The 25390-nt window shown below is 39.0% G+C and overlaps 1 protein-coding gene and 1 pseudogene across 7 annotated transcripts in view, besides 1 other annotated feature; both read left to right on the plus strand.

The window, feature by feature from the left end:
* Nucleotides 1–25390, plus strand: part of AEBP2 (AE binding protein 2) — a 118156-nt gene that overhangs the window by 87757 nt on the left and 5009 nt on the right. For 6 of the 7 annotated variants that reach the window (XM_047428299.1, XM_017018806.2, NM_153207.5 and 3 more), the window contains exons 4-7: nucleotides 1972–2158; nucleotides 8269–8393; nucleotides 20570–20637; nucleotides 22843–22956. In XM_047428299.1, coding sequence (XP_047284255.1) covers nucleotides 1972–2158; nucleotides 8269–8393; nucleotides 20570–20637; nucleotides 22843–22956 — 494 coding nt within the window. The remainder of the gene's footprint in view (nucleotides 1–1971; nucleotides 2159–8268; nucleotides 8394–20569; nucleotides 20638–22842; nucleotides 22957–25390) is intronic. The other variant, NM_001363736.2, reaches the window with a different exon arrangement.
* Nucleotides 4267–4896: an enhancer, noted in NCBI's record as "NANOG hESC enhancer chr12:19649029-19649658 (GRCh37/hg19 assembly coordinates)". NCBI's record gives its function as "activates a minimal SCP1, AML or CMV promoter by ChIP-STARR-seq in primed H9 embryonic stem cells {active_cell/tissue: H9 hESC(primed)}" and the evidence as "EXISTENCE:reporter gene assay evidence [ECO:0000049][PMID:30033119]".
* Nucleotides 17027–17463, plus strand: RPL34P25 (ribosomal protein L34 pseudogene 25; annotated as a pseudogene).

The following is a 25390-nucleotide window of genomic DNA, read 5'->3' on the forward strand; positions in this document are numbered from 1 at the left end:
CTGTGTTCAAAATGGAAAGTGTGAGTTGACATAGATATGCAGTGAAGTGTGAGGACAGCCTCAAGGGAGAATTAGCTCTTGTCCATTTGTGGCAGATTTAGAGAGACTTTATGAGGAAAGTTATGATTTTTACAAATAAAGGGCTGTGTTGTGATTTTAGCAGCTTACAATTGGTAGAGGTACCTCGATTGAAGGAAAGAGCCTGAGGCATGTGATTTTTTTAAATGCTATTATCTAGATGAACTTTTACAAGATGAACCGCCTGGGGATAACAAGATGAATATATTTGGTTTTTAACATGACACATTTATATGCTTAGAGTTTGGTAAGTCAAAAACTAAGTAAATTGGTTAAATGACTAATGGAAAAGTCATTATCCATCCAACTGTGGATATTTTCTGTTTTGTTTTGTTTTAATTACCACGATTCATTTGTTAGAAGACCTGCAAATTTTTTTCCCCCAAGATATAATTAGAAATCACACACTTATACCGCAGTTAATTTGTATATATTAATTCTGGTGCTACCTGAACATTCTGCATTCTTTGTTAAAATAGCACATCTGTCAGGTGACTCGGGTAGTTAACCTTTTGATTTCTTAACATTGCAAGTACAGAAGGCTAAAGAGGCAGTATTTAATGGATATTGTAGAGGGCGGCATATGACCAACACTGAGCATGTCTTTTCTAAGAGAGAGGCTAGATCTAATTGTTTAACAAATTAAAAAATTTATACAAACAAAATATAAATAAAAAAACAAAATAAAATAAAAAAAATTTATTTATTTTTAAAATATTAAATGTAGTCCGTATGGGTTTTCATTTGAAGTTTAAGAAATTTATAAGAAAGTAATTTACAAAGACAAGGCAGGTGTGGTGGTGCACACCTAGCTCTGTGGGGGGCCTAGGCAAATGGATGGTTTGAGCCCAGGAGTTCAGGACCAGCTTACCCAACATGGTGAAACCCCCTTTTGACAAAAAATGCAACAACAACAAAATATTAGTAGAGTGTGGTGGCGTGTGCCTATAGTACCACCACCTGGGAGGCTGAGGTGGGAGGATCACTTGAGCCTGGGAGGTTGAGGCTGCAGTGAGCCGAGATCATGCCACTGCACTTCAGCCTGGGTGATAGACTGAGACCCTGTCTCAAAAAAAACAAAACCCAAAATACAAAATACATTAAAAAGTCAATATTGAACTTTTCTCTCACCTGTTTTAATAGTGTGTAACACTAGGAAGTCTGCTGAAGGTTTTGAAGTAGCATGTAACGTAAAAAAAATACTTTAAAAATCCAGAAATACAGCTGGCTTACACCTGTAATCCCAGCACTTTGGGAGGCCAAAGCAGGCAGATCACATGAGGCCAGGAGTTCGAGACCAGCCTGGCCAATGTGGTGAAACCATAGCTCTACTAAAAATACAAAATTAGCCAGGCATGGTAGCACACACGTGTAATCCCAGCTACTCGGGAGGCTGAGGCACAAAAATCACTTGAACCCAGGAGGCAGAGGTTGCAGTGAGCGGAGATCACACCACTGCATCCCAGCCTGGGCAATAACAATACGCTGTCTCAAAAAAATAAAAATAAAATTCAGGAATCCAGTCATTGCCAGGATATCTAATTATTTGTTGCAAAAACAGCTTAGTGCTTCTGCTATAACAATGATTAATTCAAAACCAGATTTTTCTGGGAAGAAGATCCCATTATTTTTGTATTGCATATAGTGGAAATAGCAGTAAACTGGGAGGTCGTGAAACTTGTTGCATTTTCAAGCTTTGTCTAATGTATGTCATCTTACTTGGCAACTTACTTCGTAAAGTGAAAAGACTACTAGTCCCTTATGCTTCCTTTCTGGAATTAGTTCTATTGTACTACTTATTTACTTCCGAAAATACTAGATATTCACTCATTGATATTCTTCTCGTGCCCTACACAGCATGCCTGACGTTATTTCTGTTTTATTTTCTTTTAGTGTGTTGTTGGTGGCTGCAATGCCAGCTTTGCTTCTCAGGGAGGGCTAGCTCGTCATGTACCCACACACTTCAGTCAGCAGAACTCCTCAAAAGTTTCTAGCCAGCCAAAGGCCAAAGAAGAATCTCCTTCTAAAGCTGGAATGAACAAAAGGAGGAAATTAAAGAACAAAAGACGACGCTCATTACGTAAGTGTTACACTGAGAAAATCTGGTGTATTTCATGGTTTTAAAAGATATCTTAGACTTTTATGCAAATCCACTTTGAACTTCAACTCCTCTTCTATTAAAAGTAACAAACAGGTAGGATGCCTGTCTGTCAGTGAGAGTGAGAATTCAGTGGCACATGTTTGTAGTAGCTAAGGGAGTATATGTGGCCTTCAAATATAAACTGTATAAAATTAGATTTGGGGGCTACTCTGATTCTCTTCCAAAATAACATTTAAAATATAGTAACATTGGTATTTCTAGAAATATTTTAGAAAATTTGAACATGTTAAAAGTAAATATCAAGTGAAAGTTAAGTAATCTATCTACTCCAAAGTAGTGTGTGTACCTGAGCTGGGAGGTAGAGGCTGCAGTGAGCCGTGATCGCGCCACCACACTTGAACCTGGGAGACAGAGTGAGACCCTGTCTCAAAAAACCAACAACAAAAAAAACCACCACAAAGCAATGTGTGTGGATAACAAAGCAGTGTTGCTTTTTTTTTTTTTTTTTTTTTGAGATGGAGTCTCGCTCTGTCAGCCAGGCCGGAGTGCAATGGCGTGAGACAGGGTTTCACTGTGTTGGACGGGCTGGTCTCAAACTCCCGACCTCAGGTGATTGCCTGTCTCGGCCTCCCAAAATGCTGGGATTACAGGTGTGAGCCACCACACCCAGCCGATAGCAAAACAATTTGAATGTAATGGGTGTCATAGTACCTAGTCTATTGTAACATATGTATAATGTTTATGTGTTTACTTACCAAAATGTATCCTTGATGTTTAGGATAGAAAATAAGTAGATGATAAGGCTTGTAAATGCTGGGAGTAGGAACAGACTTTGCAACCTCAGAGTGTAGCTGGTCACTGCTTCTTTGTGTCAGCTGGTTAGTTTGTGGCTTTATTTTATTATTATTATTATTTTTTTGATGGGGTCTCACACTGTCGCCCAGGCTGGAGCGCAGTGGTGTGATCTCGGCTCACTGCAACCTCCGACTTCCGGGTTCAAGCAGTTCTCTGTCTCAGCCTTCCGAGCAGCTGGGATTACAGGCACCCGCCACCACGACTGGCTAATCATTATATTTTTAGTAGAGGTGGGGTTTCGCCATGTGGCCAGGCTGGTCTTGAACTCCTGACCTCTTGATCCACCCGCCTTGGCCTCCCAAAGTGCTGGGATTACAGGCATGAGCCACTGTGCTCGAGCAGCTGGTTAGTTTTAACTACATATCCTCAATGAAGAAATACCAATGGGTGAATGAGTGAATAAAGCTTTCATTGAAAGGGAGTCTACTCCAAAGGTGAATTAGAAAGAAAAAATAGATTGTACTTTACCCTTTTTCTCTGGGGATTGATTAGTATAGACAAGACTCCAGACACTAATTCCAGACTACGAAATTAGTCTGTAAAACATTGAAATCTTTTTGTTACTACAGATTTATAGCGGACAAATGAACAAACCAGAAAACTTTATATTTCGTTTTTATTTTTTTTCTACCTCATTAACTGAGAAAAGTAAACTTTCTTAAACTCTCTTAAATTTCATTCTTGCTTTTTTTTTTTTTTGATACAGGGTCTTACTCTTGCCCAGGCTGGAGTGCAGTAGTGAGATCATGGCTTACCGCAGTTTCAGACTCCTGGGCTCAAGCAATTCTCCCACCTCAGCCTCCCAAGTAGCTGGGACTACAGGCCTGAGCCACCATGCCTGGCTAGTTTTTATTTTTGGAAGAGATGGTGGGGGTCTCTCTGTGTTCTCCAGGCTGGTCTTGAACTCCTGGGCTCAAGTGATCCTTCCACTTCAGCCTCCCAAAGTGCTAGGATTACAGGCATGACCCACCATACCTGGCCTTAAGTTTCTTTTTGTTAAAGTAATCATGTTTAATTTTAATCAACGTTGGCTATTTATGGTACCATTTTCATTTTGACATCCTTTATAAAAACAGAAATTTAGCATTGCGATCATTTTACTTGTGTTAATATCAAGTAGCTTGCAGTTGCACACAGAAAATTGCTAAATATATATTATGGTACTCAAAAACCAGATGACTTTTCCACCAGTTTCACCTATCCTCATTATTATTTTAGTCTCAGTGTATACAGTAATCATTTAAATTTTCTGACTTTTCACATTATATACTTGGAAATATCTATGCAATTCGCTACTCTTTGTCTTGTAAAGAGAAGAGAGATTCAGTTAAATACCCAGTTCTTGCTTAGAAACAAAGTACTGGTGCCGGCTTAAGTATATGTTTCTTTTGACGGTGGTGTTTTTCCTCATATTAACTTAGCTAGTAAGGCAGGCTGCGTAGGGAGAGTTGGCAGAGAGAGGTGGTGGATGAAAATACCTTTTTGTCATCTGTTTTATTGAGGAGAATGGGGTTAGTCCTGAATATATTACTTTATAAACTTTAAAAAGGATCCAAGGCCTTTTCACTGTGGGGAGCCATTGTTAAGACAGTGCTGTGATTTGAATTAGCATGGTTAACAGCTGCTGCATTTCACTCTTTCTTTAAAAGCATACATATCTGTAGCAGTTAACTTTACCTAGTATCTTCCTCATGTAATTCAAGAAGACAGTTTTTACGAAACTGTGAAAAATATACCTTATAAATAGCAGCACTGCAGCAAATGTAATTTTCTGTTTGATAAAATTTGTTTTTTTTTTAACCTTTTTTTTTTTTTCTGAGACAGGGTCTCTCTCTGTCACCCAGGCTGGAATGCAGTGGTGCAATCATGACTCACTGCAGCCTCGACCTCCTGGGCTCAGGTGATTCTCCCACCTCAGCCTCCCAGGTAGCTTGGGCTACAGGCACACACCACCACACCCAACTAATTTTTGTATTTTTTTTTGGTAGAAGTGGGGTTTTGTCTTTTTGACCAGGCTGGTCTTGAGCTCTTGAGCTCAAATGGTCCACCCATCTCAGCCTCCCAAAGGGCTGGGATGACAGGTGTGAGTCACCGCACCCGGCCTGATAAAATTTATATATATACATATTTTTAATTTTTATTTATTTTTTCATTATTTTTAAAAATCTTTAAAATATATTTTTAATGCTTTTTAAATATACTTTAAAGTGGAAAGAATAGTATAATAAATACTTGTATTGCTCTTCACTTAGAGATTTACCAATATGGTACATTTGTTTTATCTTCCTACCTATATACTTTTTTGGTCATGGACCCAAAATTCTTAAGATGCATCTCCTAAGAATAAAGATATTTTTCTGCATAACCACATCATCATCATTACACCTAAGGAGAAGATAAATCATACAATATATGTAATTTTGAACCATGGGAAAATAGTTTCTATTTTTGTGGTTTCCAAAGGTGTTTTTTTTTTTTTTTTTTTTTTTTGAGACAGAGTCTCACACTTACTGCCCGGGCTGGAGTGCAGTGGTGCGATCTTGGCTCACAGCAACCTGTAATGTTAGGTTGTCAGTTTGTGATCTTTCAACCTTTTTGCTTTGTTCTGTTTTTGTTTTTTGTTTTTTTGAGACAAGGTCTCACTTTGTTGCCGAGGCTGGAGTGCAGTGGTGCAATCTTAGCTCACAGCAACCAGTGCCTCCCAGGTGCAATCAATTCCCGTGCGTCAGCTTCTTGAGTAGCTGGGACTACCGGCACACACTACCATGCCGGGCTAATTTTTGTATTTTTAGTAGAGATGGGGTTTTACCATGTTGGCCACCAAGTCTCAAACTCCTGGTATCAAGTGATCCGCCTCCTGCCTTGGCCTCCCAAAGTGCTGGGATTACAGGCATGAGCCGCTGTGTCCAGCACCAAAGGTTTTTGATTATATATCTTATTAGTTAAAAAAATACTGAGCACACAGTCTTAACGTATGTAATTTATACATTGTATACGGGTAATACTACTACTGCACATTATACAAAATTGCCAAGAAGGAATATTGAAAAAGAATGAGATGAAGAAATTAACAAGGGTATTCTATTCTTTACGTACTCTAATGGATCATGACACACACCTACTTTGGAACTACTGTTCTAGTTTGGTATTCTTGATAAATGCAGTGGAGATAGTGTGGTTAAGGTCTGAATGCATAGGCTGAAGATTGAGGACTCCTTTCATTATTGTGAATTTAAGTGATGGCTTCAATGTTTAAATTTGAGTGAGGAGTGGTTAATTTTAGTGATTTAGAGTGATGAGTTATTATTTTCCCCAAGTGTTTATTCTTAGGAAAAAGCATATATTTGGAGAGCTTGGAGAAAGTTACACATTTTTTTTCGAGTAGCCACTTATCTAACAGGAAAGTGATGTATTTCTCAGAACTCTCCCTTGCTCACCCCTGGAAATGTCAAGTACTTTTTTCTTTCTGATTTCTCATTGTCACTGCCTTCTTAGTCTTTTGGCTTCTGCTCGTTTATTACTAGTTGGTGTTTTGTTTATTTTTTCTTGAGGAAATATCTAGAGAAAAGACCTGTTTGTTTAGGTATGTTCTATTTGATGTGCCAACTGGTGAAAATATTCCCCCATAAAAGCTATGGTGGATTTGTGTAGATGTTTTGAGAACTCTTTGAATAGCCATAGTGTGGGAAATCAGCATATATGTAATTCAGAATATGCTGTACCAGGGAATCAAGCCAACTCTTTTATTAGTGAAATTGAATTTTCAATTACAGATCTTGAAAAATTACATGTATTAGTAAGCTCCACAAATGTAAAATAATCAACTTATTTTGAGCAACTTTCTTATTAGGAATAAGAATAGAATAATTTATTATAATTAGTGGGATGAAAATTGAAATTTGAAAAATGTTCTTACCAAATTAAATCTTCAGTGTATAATTTTTTTGATCACACTAAAATACTGCCTACTCTATATTTGTGAAACGTTTTATCCTTTAAAAAAAATTCCATGGTGGAACATGCCTATAGTCCTAGCTACTCAAGAGGCTGAGACAGGAGGATTACTTGAGCCCAGAAGTTAGTTTGAGGCTACAGTGAGCCATGATCACGCCACTGGACTCTAGCACCTTGGGCAGCAGAATGAGACTGTGTCTAAAAGAAAAAGAAAAAAACCAGTTATATAAGCTGATTAATACAAATGGCCTTATGATTTATAAGGCATTTTTATATGCATTTGTTTTATTTAATTACAATTGAAAATTGTTACAATAATTTACATTTTACAAATAATCCACAGTGTAATGCAGGTTAAGTAGTTTGCCCACAGTCACACACGTGATAACTGGTGGAGCTGATTGGCAGCTTTGGTGGACTGATCGGCGTCCAAAAATTTGTTTGTAATTTTATTAGATCATTGTTCAAATAGTTGTTCATAATCAAGAAAATACTTGTCAAAAACCTCAAAATAGGCTGGGAGCAGTGGCTCATGCCTGTATACCCAGCACTTTTGGAGGCCGAGGTAGGCAGATCACATGAAGCCAGGAGTTCAAGACCAGCCCAGCCAACATGGTGAAACCCCAGCTCTACTAAAAATAACAAAAATCAGCCGGGCTTGGTGGTGTGCGCCTGTAGTCCCAGCTACGCAGGAGGTTGAGGCATGAGAATTGCTTGAACCTGGGAGGCAGAGGTTGCAGTGAGCTGAGATGGCGCCACTGCACTTCAGCCTGGGTGAAGGAGTGAGACTCTGTCTCTTAAAAAAAAAAAAAAAAACCTCAAAATAATATTATTGTATTGTCAGATTTGTACAATTTGAAATTACATGGTAACACAAAATGTTCACAAAATTTATTTTGTATGTTTGGCAATGGTGAGTTTGAAATCCTGATATATAGATGGTGTTCCTCAGATCGCTGATAACAGACCTTATGCTGAGGCGAGATGTTGGAGTAAAAGATAACATTTTATGAAAAATGAAGTAGCTGAGATGTGGAATCATGAGGTTTGAGGTTAGAACTTAACTCACCAAGGGTCAGAATTAACCCACATTCACTCATTTGTTGAAATAATGCTTTTGCATATTAGTCTTCTTATCTAGAGTCCATGTTTTGTAAGCAAATAATAATCTTGAATTTAAATACTATTGATAGATATGTATTTGTTAATTGTTTCCATCTTTATTACTTATTACTGTTATGTTTTTCTAAATATTCTTTACTTTTTATGTTGACTTTTAGCACGGCCACATGATTTCTTCGATGCACAAACACTGGATGCGATAAGACATCGAGCCATATGCTTTAACCTCTCAGCTCATATAGAAAGTTTAGGGAAGGGACACAGTGTTGTTTTTCATAGTACTGTAAGTATTCTTTTATTTTTTCAAATTAAATATAAAACTTTGCAAAAAAATATTTCCACAATCATTTCTAAATCTCTCAAAATCTAAGAAAGTACAATTTAACAGAAATCACAAAACCTTTTGTTTTATCAGTATTTAAAACATTGTATTATTGGTTATAAAGCACACATTTCTTATAATTTTACATGTTTGTGATTAAACTGAATATGTTAGCCTTTAGTTTGAGTTACTTAGGAATAATGGGATGACACACCATACAGTGTTACTAGGCATTACTGGTCTCTGACATTAGCTAAACCAGGTGTCTTTTCTCACCTGGTTTCCTCATTTGCAAAATTAGAACATGAGACTCCTTTTACCTCTAAAAAGTTTCATTCACATTTCTGTGTACTGCATGGAGCCACCTCTTACCCCACGTACCCATCCAAAGTTTATGTTAAACAGAATATAAGATTATATTTGCTATCAGAGCTTCATGAAGGAAAGGATTTTAGTCTCTTTTGTTCCACTCATCTATCCCAAGTGCCTAGAATTTTGCCTGGCACATGGTAGGCACTCAGTATAGTTGTTGAATGACTATGTTGTCAACAGAGAAGAAGAAAAGTACCAAATTTGAAAAAGAATAAATACATTTTATTTTTTGGTTAATTAGGAGTTGTAATAGAGAGTTATTCTTTCTTCCATGCCTCTTCTCATTTTGTTTTTCAGTCATTTTTAAATTGGTGTAGTTTGGTGTAATTAAGTTAATAAATGTACATTGTAGATCATACTTTTGGTGATTTGAATCTCTGAAAAATATGTGTTTAATTTAGGCTGACAAAATACAGGCCGGGCGTGGTGGCTCATGCCTGTAATCCCAAAATTTTGGGAGGCCTAGGCAGGTGGATCACCTGAGGCCAGGAGTTCGAGACCAGCCTGGCCAACGTGGCAAAACCCTGTCTCTACTAAAAATACAAAAAATTACCTGGGTGTGGTAGTGGTCATCTGCAATCCCAGTTACTTGGGAGGCTGAGGCAGGAGAATTGCTTGAGCCCAGGAGTTGGAGGCTGCTGTGAGCCGAGATCGCACCACTGCACTCCGACCTAGGCAGCAAGAGCGAAACTCCATCTCAAAAAAAAAAAAAAAAAATACAGCCAGGCTTCATGGCTCACACCTATAATCCTAGTACTTTGGGAGGCCAAGGCAGGCAGATTGCTTGAACCTAGGAATTCAATACCAGCCTGGATAATATGGCAAATCCCTGTCTCTACAAAAACATGCAAAAAATTAGCCAGGCATAGTGGTGTGCACCTGTAGTCCCAGTTACCCAGGAGGCTGAGGTGGGAGGATTGGCTGAGCCCAGGAGGTCAAGGGTGCAGTGAGCTGTGATCATGGCACTGCACTGCAGCCTGGGCTACAAAGTGAGACCCTGTCTGGAAAAAAAAAAATTATATATACACTAAATTTGGGTTACTTTTATTTTTTATATTTCAATTGAAAAGTGCATGAAAATTGAAATACAAAAGGTCCTTATTGATATCAATATGTTGTTTGGTTTGAACCTCTATTTCCGTCGTCTCCTATAAAAATGAGTTTGTTTTTTTTTTTTTTTTTTTTGCATTTTCATGTTTTCTTCTGCGTGCAGTCATCCCTCTGTATTCACAGGTTCTGCGACCGTGGTTACAACCAACCACGGATTGATCATATTTGCGGGGACAAGAACCACAATAAAAATCATACAAATTAAAAAGTACAGTGTACCAACTATTTACGTAGTATCGACTTAATTATATGGGAGGTTTTGCATAGATTATATGCAACACCATGTTATTTTATATAAAGGCCTTTTAGAGCATCCTTGGATTTCACTATTCAAGGCAATTGGACATGTCCTTACTTACTTCCCAATTATATATGTTTTCCTGTTATTTGTACCTACTTTTTTTTCTTTTGAGACAGAGTCTTGCTCTGTTGCCCAGGTTGAAGTGCAGTGGCATGATCTAGGCTCACTGCAACCTCCACCCTCTAGGTTCAAGCGATCCCCCTCCCTCAGCCTCCCGAGTAGCCGGATTACAGGTGCATGCCACCAAGCCCAGCTAATTTTTGTATTTTTAGTAGAGATGGGGTTTTGCCATGTTGGCCAGGCTGGTATTGAACTCCTGACCTCAAGTGATCTGCCTGCCTTGGCCTCCCAAAGTGCTGGGATTACAGGCATGAGCCACCATGCCCGGCCTATCTTGAGTTAATTTTTTATATGGTGAGAGCTCAGTAGAGGTCCAGTTTCATTCTTTGGCATATGGTTAGCCAATTTCTCCAGTGCCATTTATTGAATTAGGGAGTCCTTTCCTCACCGTTTTTATTTTTGTCAACTTTTTTGAAGATCAGTTGGTTGTAGGTGTGCAGTTTTATTTCAGGGGCTTCTGTCCTATTTCATTGGTCTGTTTGTCTATTCTTTTTTTTTTTTTGAGATGGACTTTCGCTCTTGTTGCCCAGGCTGGAGTGCAATGGCATGATCTCGGCTCACTGCAACCTCTGCCTCCTGGGTTCAAGCGATTCTTGTGCCTCAGCCTCCCAAGTAGCTGGGATTACAGGCGTGTACCACCACGCCTGGCTAATCTTGTATTTTTAGTAGAGATGGGGTTTCTCCACGTTGGTCAGGCTGGTCTCGAACTCCCAACCTCAGGTGATCCAGCCGCTTCAGCTTCCCAGAGTGCTGGGATTAATAGGCGCGAGCCACCACGCTTGGCTGTTTGTTTATTTTTGTACCAATGCTGCACTGTTTTGGTTACTGTAGCCTTGTAGTGTAGTTTGAAGTCGGGTAAGGTGGTGTCTCTGGCTTTGTTCTTTTTGCTTAGGATTGCCTTGGCTCTTTGCGCTCCTTTTCATTCCATGTGAATTTTAGAATACTTTTTTGTAATTCTGTGAAAAAATATTGGTAGCTTGATAGGAATAGCATTGAATCTGTAAATTCCTTTGGGCGTTGTCACCATTTTAATGATACTGATTCTTCCAATCTGTGAGCATGGAATATTTTTCTATTTTTTTGTGTCATCTATGATTTCTTTTAGCAGCCTTTTGTAGTTCTCCTTGTAGAGATTGTTTACCTCCTTGGTTAGATGTATTCCTTGGTGTGTGTGTGTGTGTGTATGTGTGTGTGTGTGTTATGGTGAATGGAATTGCATTCTTGATTTGGTTGTCAGCTTGAGTGTTATTGGGGTATAGAAATGCTACTGATTTTTGTACATTGATTTTTTTTGTATCCTGAGACTTTGCTAAAGTTGTTTATCAGGTTTATGAGCTTTTTGGTGAAATCTTCAGGTTTTTCTAGGTGTAGAATCATATTGGCAGTGAAGAAAGTAAATTCGATTTCCTCTTTTCCTATTTGGATGCCTTTTATTGATCTTACCTGATTGATTGCTCTGGCTAGGACTTCCAGTACTGTGTTGAATAGGAATGGTGAGAGGAGACATCCTTGGGTTTTTTTTTTTTTAAACATTTATTTTTATAGAGACAGGATCTTGCTGTGTTGCCCAGGCTGGTTTTGAACTCTTTGCCTCAAGCAGTCCTCCTGTCCTAGCTTCCCAAAGTGTCGAGATTACAGGTGAGCCACCACGCCCTACTGATATCCTTTGTCTTTCTTTCCCTTTCCAAGACAGGGTCTTACTCTGTCATCCAGGCTGGAGTGCAGTGGCACAAACATGGCTCACTGTAGCCTCAATCTCCTGGGTTCAAGAGATCCTCCCACCTCAGTCTTCTGAGTAGCTGGGACCACAGGCATGAGCTACCACACCTGGCTAATTTATTTTTGGTAGAGGCAAGGTCTCACCATGTTGCCCAGGCTAACCTTGTCTTGTTTATGGACTAAATTTAAATGGAGGCGTGCTTGACATAATGTAGGTTATTAAATGTATCATTTAAATTAATTTATGTTTTTAGTTACTGCATAACCAATGTTGTCCCCTAACTTGAATTTTTCAGATAATGAAACTAGGAACTAAAAAGGTTGTATTGTCTTTCCTATTGTGATCTAGTATAGTTGTATATATTTTTTTGAGACGGAGTCTTGCTCTGTCGCCCAGGCTGGAGTGCAGTGGCGCGATCTCGGCTCACTGCAAGCTCCGCCTCCCAGGTTCACACCATTCTCCTGCCTCAGCCTCCCGAGTAGCTGGGAATACAGGCGCCCCCCCCACCACGCCTGGCTAATTTTTTTGTATTTTTTTTAGTAGAGACGGGATTTCACCGTGTTAGCAAGGATGCTCTCGATCTCCTGACCTTGTGATCCACCCACCTCGGCCTCCCAAAGCCCTGGGATTACAGGTGTGAGCCACCGCACCTGACTGACTAGTTGTGTACTTTTATTACATAGGGTTTATGGACCTTTACCCACACCCTATTCATGGATTCCAGGATGAGAACTCTTGTGGTATTTAGATTGATATGTGTGATACTACAGGGAAGATAGATCCTGCTTGAGCCTGGCAGGAGAGCCTGGTTAGGAGCTCACCCTTTTGTTCTTCCTTGTGTTGCCAATTTATTGACAGCAAATATACCAATTAAATGGACACTATTAAATAACTTTATTTAAAAAAAGGCAAGATAGAAAATGGAGCAATAGGTATCAGTACATTCCACTCAAGTTTTAGAATATTTAAAGGTAGAATTGTATATTTTAGAAATTAGATAAGGATATAAAGGAGAGAGTGATAGAACAAAATTTGGAGTCAAAGGCAAGAAAGTGGAAAATTAGATGCAAAGGAAAGGAGACTTTTTCTGAGATTGGAAGACACAAGAGACATGAATTTGAGGAAAGGTGTCCTTATTCTCTTTTAAATAACATAGGAAATACATTTATCTAAATAAGGATGAAAGAGTTGGCGGGTAAAATACAGGATTTGGAGACCAGAAAGAGTTAATATGGCTGCTCTGGGGACTTTGTGGGGATTCAGCAAGGTTAGAGCCTTGCTCACCGAGGCTGGTTGAAGTCCTCCTTTGAAATTTGGGAACATAGTTTTATGATATGGTAGGTCTGTAATACAGATTTTTTTTGTTTTAACAGGTCAGTAAGATGTTGTCACCATGTCCAGAGTGTGGCATCAGAGCTAGTTTGTTCATTCACTTATTAAACTGTTTTAAATATTAAGGTGATCATTAAATATTGAGCACCTACTGTGAGCCAGGTACTAATGTAATGACATAGCAGTGAACAAAACAGATTAAAACCAACCAAACAAAAAATACCATGCAGCTACTCTAATGGAAGAGACATGATAAAACAAGATAAATTAGTAAAATTGTAAAAACTTGTAATGAGGGCATAAGCCATTCAATTATTAGTGGGGTATAAGCATTTTAGCTAGAGGGAAGATGAGGTGTAACATCTTGAGGTGGGACAACAGTGAGTAGGCAGAGTAGGCAGCGTAGCTGGAGGGAACAAGGGAAGAGGAGAGAGTAGGAGTTAAGTTTGAGAGGTAATAGGCAGAACCTTGGTGGACTAAGACCTTAGCTTTTATTCTGTGTGAGATGGGAAGCCATTGAAGGGGGTTGAATAGGCATGGTCTGATTTTGTTTGTTTGTTTGTTTGTTTTGTTTTTTTGAGTCAGAGTTTCACTGTGTCACCCAGGGTGAAATGTGGTGGTATCATCATGGCTCACTGTTGCCTCAAACTCCTGGGCTCAAGCAGTCCTCTCTCCTCAGTCTCCCAGGTAGTTTGGTCTGTAGGAGCACACCACGATGCCTGGCTAATTTTTTGAGTTTTTTTTTTATTTTTTCTTGTAGAGATGACATCTTGCTATGTTGCCCAGGCTGATCTCAAACTCCTGGGCTCAAGTGATCCTCCTGGCTTTGCCTCCCAGAGTGCTGGAGTGAGCCACCGTGCCTGGCCTAGTTTTTAAAATAATATATATAATATCTTTTTGAGACAGAGCCTTGCTGTGTCACCCAGGCCGGAGTGCAGTGACACCATACTGGCTCACTGCAACCTCTGCCTCCCAGGTTCAAGTGATTCTTGTGCTGCAGCTTCCCTAGTAGCTGGGACTGTACTAAATTAGCGTCCCCATGCCCAGCTAATTTTTGTATTTTTAGTAGAGATGGGATTTCGCCATGTTGGCCAGGCTGGTCTCGAACTCCTGAACTGTAGTGATCCACTCACCTTGGCCTCCCAAAGTGCTGGGATTACAGGCATGAGCCACGGTGCCTGGCCCTTTTATTTCTCTCTTAGTAAAGAAACTTGCTGTCAATAATTTTTATTGAGGTACAATTTATATATAATAAACTGTACCCATTGAAAGTATACATTTCTGTGAGTTTTGAAAGTTGTACTCACTGAGGCAAGCACCACCACAGTTAAGATAGAATAGTTCCAGCACTCTGAAGTTTTCTGGTGTAGCTTTGTAGTACATTCCTACCTCCACCTCCTGCCCTAGAAAACCTACTGTTGTTCTTTTCCCTCATGCAGGCTTTAACATGTTCACTTTGGTTTCTGTGTTGAGAACAAATTGTAGAAAGTCAGGGGTGAGAGTAAAGGGGAATTTGTCTTTTCAGTATTTCAAGTGAGAATGATAGTGGCTTAGACTGGAATGTTTGCAGTGGAGATAAGGGTTGGATTCTGGTTATCTTTTGGAGTTACTATGGACAAGAATTATGGATGGATGAGATACTGGGTTTTAGAATAAGAGGTAACAGCAACTCCAAGGCTTTTTGGCCTGGGCAGCTCCGTGGCAGAGCCGTGGAGGCTCTCAGGCAAGCAGATTGGGGAGAGGGGAGTATCAAGAGATCTAATTTGGACATATTTAGAGGCCTATAGGGCATTCAGTGGCTCTGTCACTTAGGCTGATGGCTATAAATTGAGAGCTCAGAGGAGAGAGGTGTGGCTACAGATAGAAAATATGGGAATTTTTAGTGTATTTGTGGTATTTATAGGTATCAGACTGGATGAGATTACCTAGGAAATAAGTGTAAATAAAGAGAAAGTTAGCATAAGGATTGAAGTGTTTGGGGCTTACCAAACATTTAATGATTTAAAGGGCAATAGATTTAGTGAAATGGTGGTCTAGTAATGAGCTAGTGTCTCTACAGATAAGGGAGAAGTGATGTAAAAGGGAAGCACTAACTTGCATATGCTTTCATTAGAGCAGCTCCTTTTGATGAAATCCTTAGCTTCACCATGGGAGGAATAGCGATGGCTCCAAAAGAAGGAAAATGAAGGAACCAAAAATAGTGGTAATAATATTAGAAGTCTAGAAAGAAAATAAAAAATTTGCGCAGACTCAAAATAGTCCATGAAAATGAAAAGCTTTTGAGCTATGGAAAACATCTGAGAGGGCTTAAGAACATTGACACTTACATATATTGTAAGCTTAAAAACCTAGGAATGAGTGATGTCCACCCTTAAGTCACAGTGAGGAGGCAGAGGTACCTTAACTGAGGAAAAGTCACAAAGGTGGAATGTAATCTGAAGAATGATTTTTTTTCCTGGGGAAGGAAAGTGGAAGGAAGAGACATCCATAATGAGATAAGGTCTTCGCTGGACACAATAGAAAGGAAAGGAGCTAGGTGAGCAAATTGGAGCTCCAAAGTTCTATAACTGGGAAGGTTTTGATGGAGGCAGTACATGTTAAACAGAATCAATTCTGTTAGTAGTAAAAAACATTCAGTACTAACTGCAAATTTAAGTTACTTTGTTATCAAATTAACTTTTATAGAAAATAATACAAATAATGAAACAATTGGTTAAAAGAAGGCTATGAGGTACTATACTGTTTGGTTTGCCTAATGTGCCTTATTTCATTAATTGAAATATTTTCTTTCGAGCCTTCTCCAGAAGAGGTCAGCAAAATCCTAGTTACCAATCAGTTGGCTTGCTGTGCTTGGTTGGCTTGCATTGTTTTTGTGTATTATTTCATTGTAGAGGTATTTTGTTTTAGCAGCTCCAGACCTGTGTTTGGGCTTTTAAATTTTGTTGCCAAGTCTAGAATCAGAGTATTTATTTGACTACAGACTTTTTTTGTTGTTTTTAAAAAAACCATATTTTAAAAAATAAAAACTAGAAACGGGGATTCACCATGTTGTCCAGGCTGGCCTCGAATTCCTGGGCTCAAGCAGTCCTCCTGCCTCAGCCTCCCAAAGTGCTGGGATTATAGGTGTGAGCCACTGCGTCTGGCCTCACCATAGGTTTTTATATAGTGGAGACAGTGTTTTGTTTTTGCTTAAAGCTCTGCTTTTACTCAGTCCTAATATGTTTTCAGGATTACAAGATTATTTTGTTTGGGTGGTTGGAACTTGATTAAAAAAATTGAGATTAAGACTATTAAAACACTAAAGTTCTAATTTTGTTTATATGGAAATTTTAAGAGTTTGACGTTATTGTTTTGCCTGATTTTATTTTATTTAAGCATTATCTTAATTTTCAGAATCTGGTAATGAAAGGAAAATATATTGCTTTTCTTATACTTTTTTGGGTCTTTCTGTTAGATCGATGTTAACTTGCATAGATTCCTTAAGCTTAAACCTAGACTGATTGGCCTACCTTTCATTTAAAATAAAACCAACTACAGCAAAAAACTCCAGGAGATAAACAAATGCCTTAAGTTGTAAATTAGAGACTTTTCCTTCTCATTAGTATTTTTTCTTTACTGTTTATTCATTTAAAAATATTTCAAAGGCTTTCTTCTTCCTCTTCCGGAACGTTGTCTGCAGGCACTCAGAATGGTCCAGCATTTGACATACTGTCGTAGGCTTTTCTACAATACAGCCTCTAACAAAACAAGTCTGTCCCAGACCCTTGGTAATAGAGTTGTTTACCTTTTTACTAAGAACGTTGGGAAAGCACCAAAATCTGCATGTGGCATGTGCCCAGGCAGACATGGAGGGGTTCGTGCTGTGAGACCTAAAGTTCTTAATGAGATTGTCCAAAGCAAAGAACATGTCAGCAGGGCCTGTGGTGGTTCCATGTGTGCTAAATGTGTTTGTGACAGGATCAAACATGCTTTCCTTATTAAGGAGTAGAAAATTGGGGTGTAAGTGTTGAAGGCACAAGCACAGAGTCAGCTAAATTGAAAAATGCAACTTTTTTAAGTAATAAAAATGAAAAGACTTGAAAAAATTTCATCTACTATGAATGCTTTTGGTTGGCTAAGCTAAGCCACATACTTAGTAAAACAAATGGCATTTTCATTCTCTTAATAATAACATGGCTTTGGCTTGATTAGTTAAAGCTTCTTTAATTCACATATATTTGTGAAAATATATGATTAAAAGTGAAGTTGAGGCTGGGTGCTGTGGCTCACACCTGTAATCTCAGCACTTGGGAGGCTGAGGTAGGCAGATCAGCTGAGCTCAGGAGTTTGATACCAGCCTGGGCAAAATGGTAAAACCCCGTCTCTAGAAAAAATAAAAAAGACATACCTAGGCGTAGTGGCTGCGCCTGTGGTTCTGGCTGCTCAGGAGGCCAAGGCGGGAAGAATACTCAAGGCTAGGAGACAGAGGTTGCAGTGAGCTGAGATTATGTCACTGCACTGCCTGGGTGACAGAGTGAGACTTTGGCTTGAAAAATAAAAGTGAAATTGAGACAGGGTTGTTGAAAAACCTTTTACTTCGATAATATTAGTAACATGGCTACTTTCTTTTTTTTTTTTTTTTTTTTTTTTTTGAGATGGAGTCTCACTCACTTTGTTGCTTGGACTGGAGTGCAGTGGCATGATCTCGGCTCACTGTAGCTTCCGCTGCCCAGGTTTAAGCAATTCTCCTGCCTCAGCCTCCTGAGTAGCTGGGATTACTGACGTGCACCATCACACCTGGCTAATTTTTATATTTTTAGTAGAGATAGGGTTTCACCATGTTGGCCAGGCTGGTCACAAACTTCTAACCTCAAGTGTTCTGCCCACCTATCACTTGTTTTTATTAGTGTGTGTGTAAACCCAATGTTAAATGACTGCATAGTATTCCAGTATATTGCATTGCATTCTCCATTTATTGGAAATGTTTGGGTTAGTACCTAAGGTAGAGACTGAATTGTCTACCATATTCTACATTCCACACTCGGTGAGGGAAGGTAGGCACATAAAGCAATGGCAGTACGGTGTAATACATGCTAATGTAGAGTAAGCACTCAGCATTTTGAAGACATGGACTAGAGACTTTTCACCCATTATTGGAGTTGTGGGGGAGGGGCAACGCAGAAAAGGTGATAATGCATGTGTCCTATGTATAATTGTGTATGCGCATGGGCAGACACGGCATATGCCAGGCAGGAAAGTGTTGGGATGGTGGGAGTAAAAATTTGATGTGAATTTTATTTGACTTAACTGAGACCTATAGTTGCCTAGGTTAATTGCCTGAGTTAAAATGAGTAATCAAAAAATGAAGCGTACGTAACTTAAACATTTTTGCTGAATATGTAAATGAATGTTTAGTAATTTGTTTTATATAGAGCCAAAGTCATACTTTGGAGTCTAGATATGTTAATTGGGGTTTCTGGTCACATTTCTTGAATAAAACACATTTAAATGTGTACATAATCTAATGGTTTGCAGCTTTTATTTATTAAAGCGGAGCCAGAACTTGTAGACAATTGAAAAGCTATTAGAGATACCCTAATGAGACATGTTACAGTTTTTGTTCTCAATTTTTACTGTAATTCTGCAGTACATCGCTTTTTAAGGTAGTGACTTTTTTTTTTTTTTTTTGAGGTGGGGCCTCTGTTGCTCAGCCTGGAGTGCAGTGGCGCAGTCACAGCTCCTGGGCAGGTGATCCTGTCACCTCAGCCTCCCAAGTAGCTGGGACTACAGGCAAGCACCACCATAACCTGGCTAATTTTTTGTATTGAGACAGGATCTCCCTATGTTGCCTAGGCTGGTCTAGAACTCCTGGGCTCAGGTGATCCTCCCACCTTGGCCTCCCAAGGTACTGGTATTGCAGGCGTGAGCTACTGAGGAAATGACCTTTAGTAAGCCTTCCAAAAGCTATGAACTCCAGTTTTCATATAAATAAGTCTTTAGTTTTAGTAGAGTGGGATTTGTTTTGTTTTACTGTTGTGTGCCCAGCACTCTAAAATGGTATCTGAATATGATAACTGTTCTTCTGTAAAACATTAATGCTGCTGGTGCACAGAAAGCCCCGGAGAGTTGGTTGTTCCATTAAGTTAGAGAGCAGGACAGTATTTCTATTATGTTCCATAGTTTGGGAAACTGTTCTCAGTATGAGGCTAAAGGCGTTCAAGGCAGAAAACCATGAAATAGCTGAGGCCTAGAGAGGCCAGATCCTGAAGAGTTTTCTGCACCATACTAAGAGTGACCCTTTCCTAAGTGCTCGGGGGAACTGTTGAAGAGTTTGTCAGGAAAGTGATGCTACTGAATTTGTACTTTGGAAAAAGCCTTCTGGGCACTGAGTGGGAGGTAGCTTTGATGACTTGAGGAGGTCCAGAAGAATGGAGACCTGAACTTGGGTTTATGGCAGCTTGGATGGAGAGAATGGGTATTAATGAGTACAGTTCCTAGATCTTAGTGTTGGAATATTTGCTGTCCCCTTTTTGGGCCTGAAGTGCTCGAAGGTGTTCACTGTAACACAAACATCCTTGGCCACAGAGCTTTTACTGAATCTAGGTTTTTTTTTTTAGGATAGATTTCCAAACAATTAATTTATTTTATACTAAACACTACTATAGGTGGTATGACACAAAGGTTCACAGGATAAGAAATATTCCTGTGTCATGGAGTTTTCAGTCTTGTGGGAAAGACAAAGGTTTGAGTGCTACAAGACAGGGAAGAACTACAAAGCAGGCAGGATTACTATCTCTTCCAGGGTATGAACACTTAAGTTCTTGATTAGGGGTGAAAGTTTTTTTTTTTCTCTGAGATGGAGTCTTGCCCAGGCTGGAGTGCAGTGGCGTGATCTTGGCTCACTGCAACCGCCACCTCCTGGGTTCAAGTGATTCTCCTGCCTCAGCCTCCTGAGTAGCTGGGACTGCAGAAGCCCACCACCACTCCCGGCTAATTTTTGTGTTTTTAGTAGAGACGGGGTTTCACCATATTGGCCAAGCTGGTCTCAAACTCCTGACCTTATGATCCACCCGCCTTGGCCTCCCAAAGTGCTGGGATTACAGGCATGAGCCATCGCGCCCAGCCCCAAAAGTGTTTTTTAACAATACATGAAAATGATGTTTTACACATTGTTTTTATGATTTCTTTTCATGTCATTATCAGGTAATAGCTAAGAGAAAAGAAGATTCTGGGAAGATCAAACTTTTGCTTCATTGGATGCCTGAAGACATGTAAGTATTTGAAATATTATGCCTTAGTAATAAGTTCATGTTTTATTTTTGTTAAAATCTTACACACAAAAATTATTTATTAAATTCAAATAAAAAGAAATTACATTTTACAACGTTTTGAGGTTGTCAGGATTAAAGAGATAATCTGAAAGGTCTTACACTATCAGGTTCACGTTTTACGCTTCAAAACTTAAGCCCCCCCTCTTTTTTTTTTTGCTGGAGGCGGTGGCTCACACCTGTAATCCCAGCACTTTGGGAGGCTGGGGGAGGCCGGCAGTTCGAGACCAGCCTGGCCAACGTGGTAAAACCCTGTCTCTACTAAAAATACAAAAATTAGCCGGGTGTGGTGGTGCGCACCCATAATCCCAGCTGCTCGGGAGGCTGAGGCACGAGAGTCACTTGAACCCGGGAGGCAAAGGTTGCAGTGAGCCGAGATCATGCCACTGCATTCTAGCCTGGGTAACAGAGTGAGACTGTCTCAAAAACAAAAACAACAAAACAAACAAAAATCTTAAGCTTTTTAAATCTTGTGTGGTGTTTTTTGTTTTGTTTTTGTTTTTTTGTTTTGTTTTTTGAGATGCTCAACCTGGGCATCAGTGAGACTCTGTCTCAAAAATAAAAAAGTAGTTAGAGAAAATTTAAATCATTTTTAGCATTTTTAGTGACCTCCAAGCAGTATACAAGCAGCCATAGCTGTGCCTTTGTTTGAATCTTTTATTTAAAAAATTTGTAAATGTTCTTTAGTGCACAGTGAATGGTATTTTATAGAAAAAGCAATTGACTAATTTTCTAGCAGTGATTACATTTTTCTTTAAGTTTTAGTGCCCATTTAGAGCTTAGTTCATATATTTCATGTATTTTTTTATCTTTCTTATTAAAATTTTCTTTTTATAAAAGGAAATGAGGGTATATTATAGACATATTGGACAAAATTAATAAGCATCAAGAATAGAATAAATTTCATTGAAGGAGATTTCATTATGTGTACCTAATTCACGTATGTGGCCAATGGCTGGGCGCAGTGGTTTATGCTGGTAATCCCAGTGCTTTGTGAGGCTGAGGCAGAAAGATTGCTTTTAGGGCAGGAGTTTGAGATCAGCCTGGGCAGTATAGTGAATCCTCGTCTCTACAGGAAAACAAAAAAAGAAATTAGCTGGTTGTGATGGTGTCGCCTGTAGTCCCAGATACTCAGGAGACTGAGGCGGGAAGATTGATTGAGCCCAGGAGGTTGAAGCTGCAGTGAGCCGTGATTGTACCACTGCAACTCAAGCTTGGGTGACAGAGTGAGACCCTGTTCAAAAAAGTCAAATTCAAATGTGTATATTCCTAATGTTTTGGAAATTGATTAATCCAAATATCAAAATACATTCATTTGAATTTTCTTGTAGAGTTGAATTTCTTTGAATTCAGTGTTATGGCCGCATGCATTTTTTTTTTTTTTTTTAATGGAGTTTAGTCTTACAGGGTTTTTATTTATTTCTTTTTTTTTTTTTTAAATGGACTTTAATCTTACAGGTTTTGTTTCTGTTTTTTGTTTTTTTGGTTTTTTTTGGAGAGAGAGTCTCACTTTGACGCCCATGCTGCAGTGCAGTGGTGCACTCTTGGCTCACTGCAACCTCTGTCTCCTGGGTTCAAGCGATTCTTGTGCCTCGTTCTCCGGAGTTGATGGGAATACAGGTGTGCGCCACCATGCCCAGCTAATTTTTGTATTTTTAGTACAGATGGGGTTTCACCATGTTGGCCAGTGTGGTCTTAAACTCCTGGGCTCAAGTTATCTTCCCCCCTTGGCCTCCCAAAGTGCTGGAATTAGAGGAAGGAGCCACCGCACTGGGCCCTTTTATTTCTCTCTTAGTAAAGAAACTTGCTGTCAGATTTCCAGCAAGTCAAAATCAAGTATGAATTTCACTCATTGAGTTAAAAGCTAGCCAGTGTGTTCTGACAAATTTCTAATTTGATAAGATATTGCCACTGAAAATGTTTAATTTATTCCTCAATTCATGTTTAAAATTTAACACTGCCATTTCTTATCTGGGACTCCAAGTCCTGCTATTAAGGTTGATAGCTGAGCTTCCCTGGCTTCTGGGAAACTTGTTCACTTAACGTGGACTGATCAAAGTAGCAGAAAATGCCAGAATGTGAAGGCACATGGAAGTGTAAATCTAAAATTAATGTTACTTTATTATTGACTTGTTTTTTAATTCATAGTCTGCCTGATGTGTGGGTGAATGAAAGTGAACGACATCAGTTAAAAACTAAAGTAGTTCATTTATCAAAGCTACCCAAAGATACTGCCTTGCTTTTGGACCCAAACATATACAGGTAATTTAATTCTTGCCTTTATGTTTTACTTTTTGATTTGTAATTTTCTCTCCCCAAATTTTGGATAAATTAGGACTTAGTTTTAAGTGCTGAATTTTAATACCAAGCATATCTCATTACTTCCTGGCTTTTTTTTTTTTGGATGTGGACTCACAAAGAGTTAAAAATTGTAGAATCCAGAAAAACAGTATTTTGCTAATAAAGTTTATATGCTTGTTTAATCCCAGATTTATCTTAAGTATGTTAGATTGTAATATACATAGTAATTTGAAAATAAGTGCCCTTTAACAAGGTAATTCTTTTTATAATAACAGACTTTTGTGGACCTAAGAATATGTTGCATGAGTCTGAATACCAAAACTGTTTGATTTTTTTTAGCTTACCCTTTCTCCAAACTTTCCAAAAGAGCAATTCAAATATTATTTGTTTTTTAAGACATAGCTTAGAGTGTTCACATTTCTAGTAATTTTATGTTTTGAGCTTTTTTTAGTGTGCTGTGCTTATGAAGGTATGTGGGGGAAGGAGAAGAGACCAACATTTCTCTTTTATGTGCTGAGTCACTTTGCTAGGTGCTTTGCGTATACGTCATCCTCACGGCTGCTCTGTGAAGTAGGTTTTACTATCTCTGCTTTACAGGTTGGAAAACTGAGGCAAGAGGTTAAATAGTTAATCTGCCCAAGTTTGCACGAATGTGGTTGAACTCCATAGTGCCTGTATCCAAATGATGTACACGAGAGTGATTAAAAAAGTGGTGGAAATGCTTAAAACCAGCTTTTAAAAGGCACTCTTATTGAAAGGACTTTATATCTTTTTTCAATGAAACTTTGTAAATTTTAGCTATCATAAAGATAGCAAATTTTATATTAATTAAGTGCTTTGAAGGGTATATTCATTCCACGATGCACCTTTTTGGAGTGCTATTCACCTGGAGATTTCCTGTAATTTGAGACATTATTCTGTGAGTGAAATTCCAACATAATGGGCATTGCTATGTAGAAGCATAGTTTTCCCTATTACAATAAAAGGTTTTTTTGGCTGGGCCCAGTGGCTCATGCCTATCATCACAGCATTTTGGGAGGCTGAGGTGGGCAGGTCGCTGAAGTCTAGGAGTTCGAGACCAGCCTCGGCAACATAGTGAGACCCTGTCTCTACAAAAAATACATGGTGGCACATGCCTGTGGTCCCAGCTACTCAGGAGGCTGAGGTAGGAGGATTGCTTCAGCCTGGAAGTTCGAGGCTGCAGTGAGCCAGGATTACACCACTGCACTCCAGCCTGGCTGACAGAGCGAGAACCTGTCTCAAAAAAATTTTTTTCTTCTCAAACATCTTTTGGTGAAAGTGCTAATTAATACAATAAAACTTATTCTTTGTGGAATGAACTAGATCATCAAGGAGAAGAAGATTGAGAGTAATCTACCAAAAATTTGGGAAGGTTACGAGTTACTTCTCTATAAAGAAAAATAATTGAGTGTTGTTGATTTATTTGTACCTAATTTAGAGTTATTTCTGTTTACTCTTTGGAGAGATGAATTAAAATTAGCATCCTAAAAGAGTGATATTTTGGGAGAGCCACTCTTGCCTTTTAGAACTAGTCGTAAACCTCTCTTAGAGAGTTGTCAAAGGGCCATGAATCTTAAATTAAGATTAATCTGTGTTTCTGCCTGCATCCTGCTTCCTTCTTTCCAAGAGTCTTGCTTTCTCACCAAACCAGCTTATTTTTTTTCTGTTCTTATGCCATATAGGAAGCAATTTAGACATTTTAGTGAAAGTGACTTAAAACAAAATTTAAGCTTGAACTGATGTTCTGAAGTGCATAGGAACAATGTTGCATATACTCAAATTTATGTGTGTGATTCCACAAGTCTTGTTGATTTTATTCTTGGAAATGAGGTTGTTCTTAAGATATATTAGGTGCTTCTGTAGATTTAATTTTCCTTACCTGTATCAAAAAAGCCGTCTTGGCCCGGTGAGGTGGTTCACGCCCATTATCCCAACACTTTGGGAGGCCGAGGTGGGTGGATCACTTGAGGCCAGGAGTTTGAGACCAGCCTGGCCAACATGATGAAACCCTGTTTCAACTAAAAATGCAAAAATCAGTCGGACGTAGTGTTGCACGCCTGTAATCTCAGCTACTCTGGAGGCTGAGGCACGAGAATCACTTGAACCCAGGAGGCGGAGGTTGCAGTGAGCCGAGATCACGTCCTACACTCCAGCCTCAGCTACAGAGCAAGAGTCTGTCCAAAAAATAAAAAAGGCCATCTTAAAACTTAATTTTGACTCTAAACCTCTGTGCTTTCACTATTCTGGAAATCAGAATTGAGTGTACTGTAAAGTGGCATAGAGTCATAGAAGCCCCTACATTTGTCCTAGTGTACAATCTTTTCTTAAATTTCTGGATTTTGACTGGGAAAATTTGTGAAATTAATTAAAAGAA

This window comes from Homo sapiens, chromosome 12, assembly GCF_000001405.40.
Source record: "Homo sapiens chromosome 12, GRCh38.p14 Primary Assembly".
In the NCBI taxonomy this organism is placed as follows: domain Eukaryota; kingdom Metazoa; phylum Chordata; class Mammalia; order Primates; family Hominidae; genus Homo; species Homo sapiens.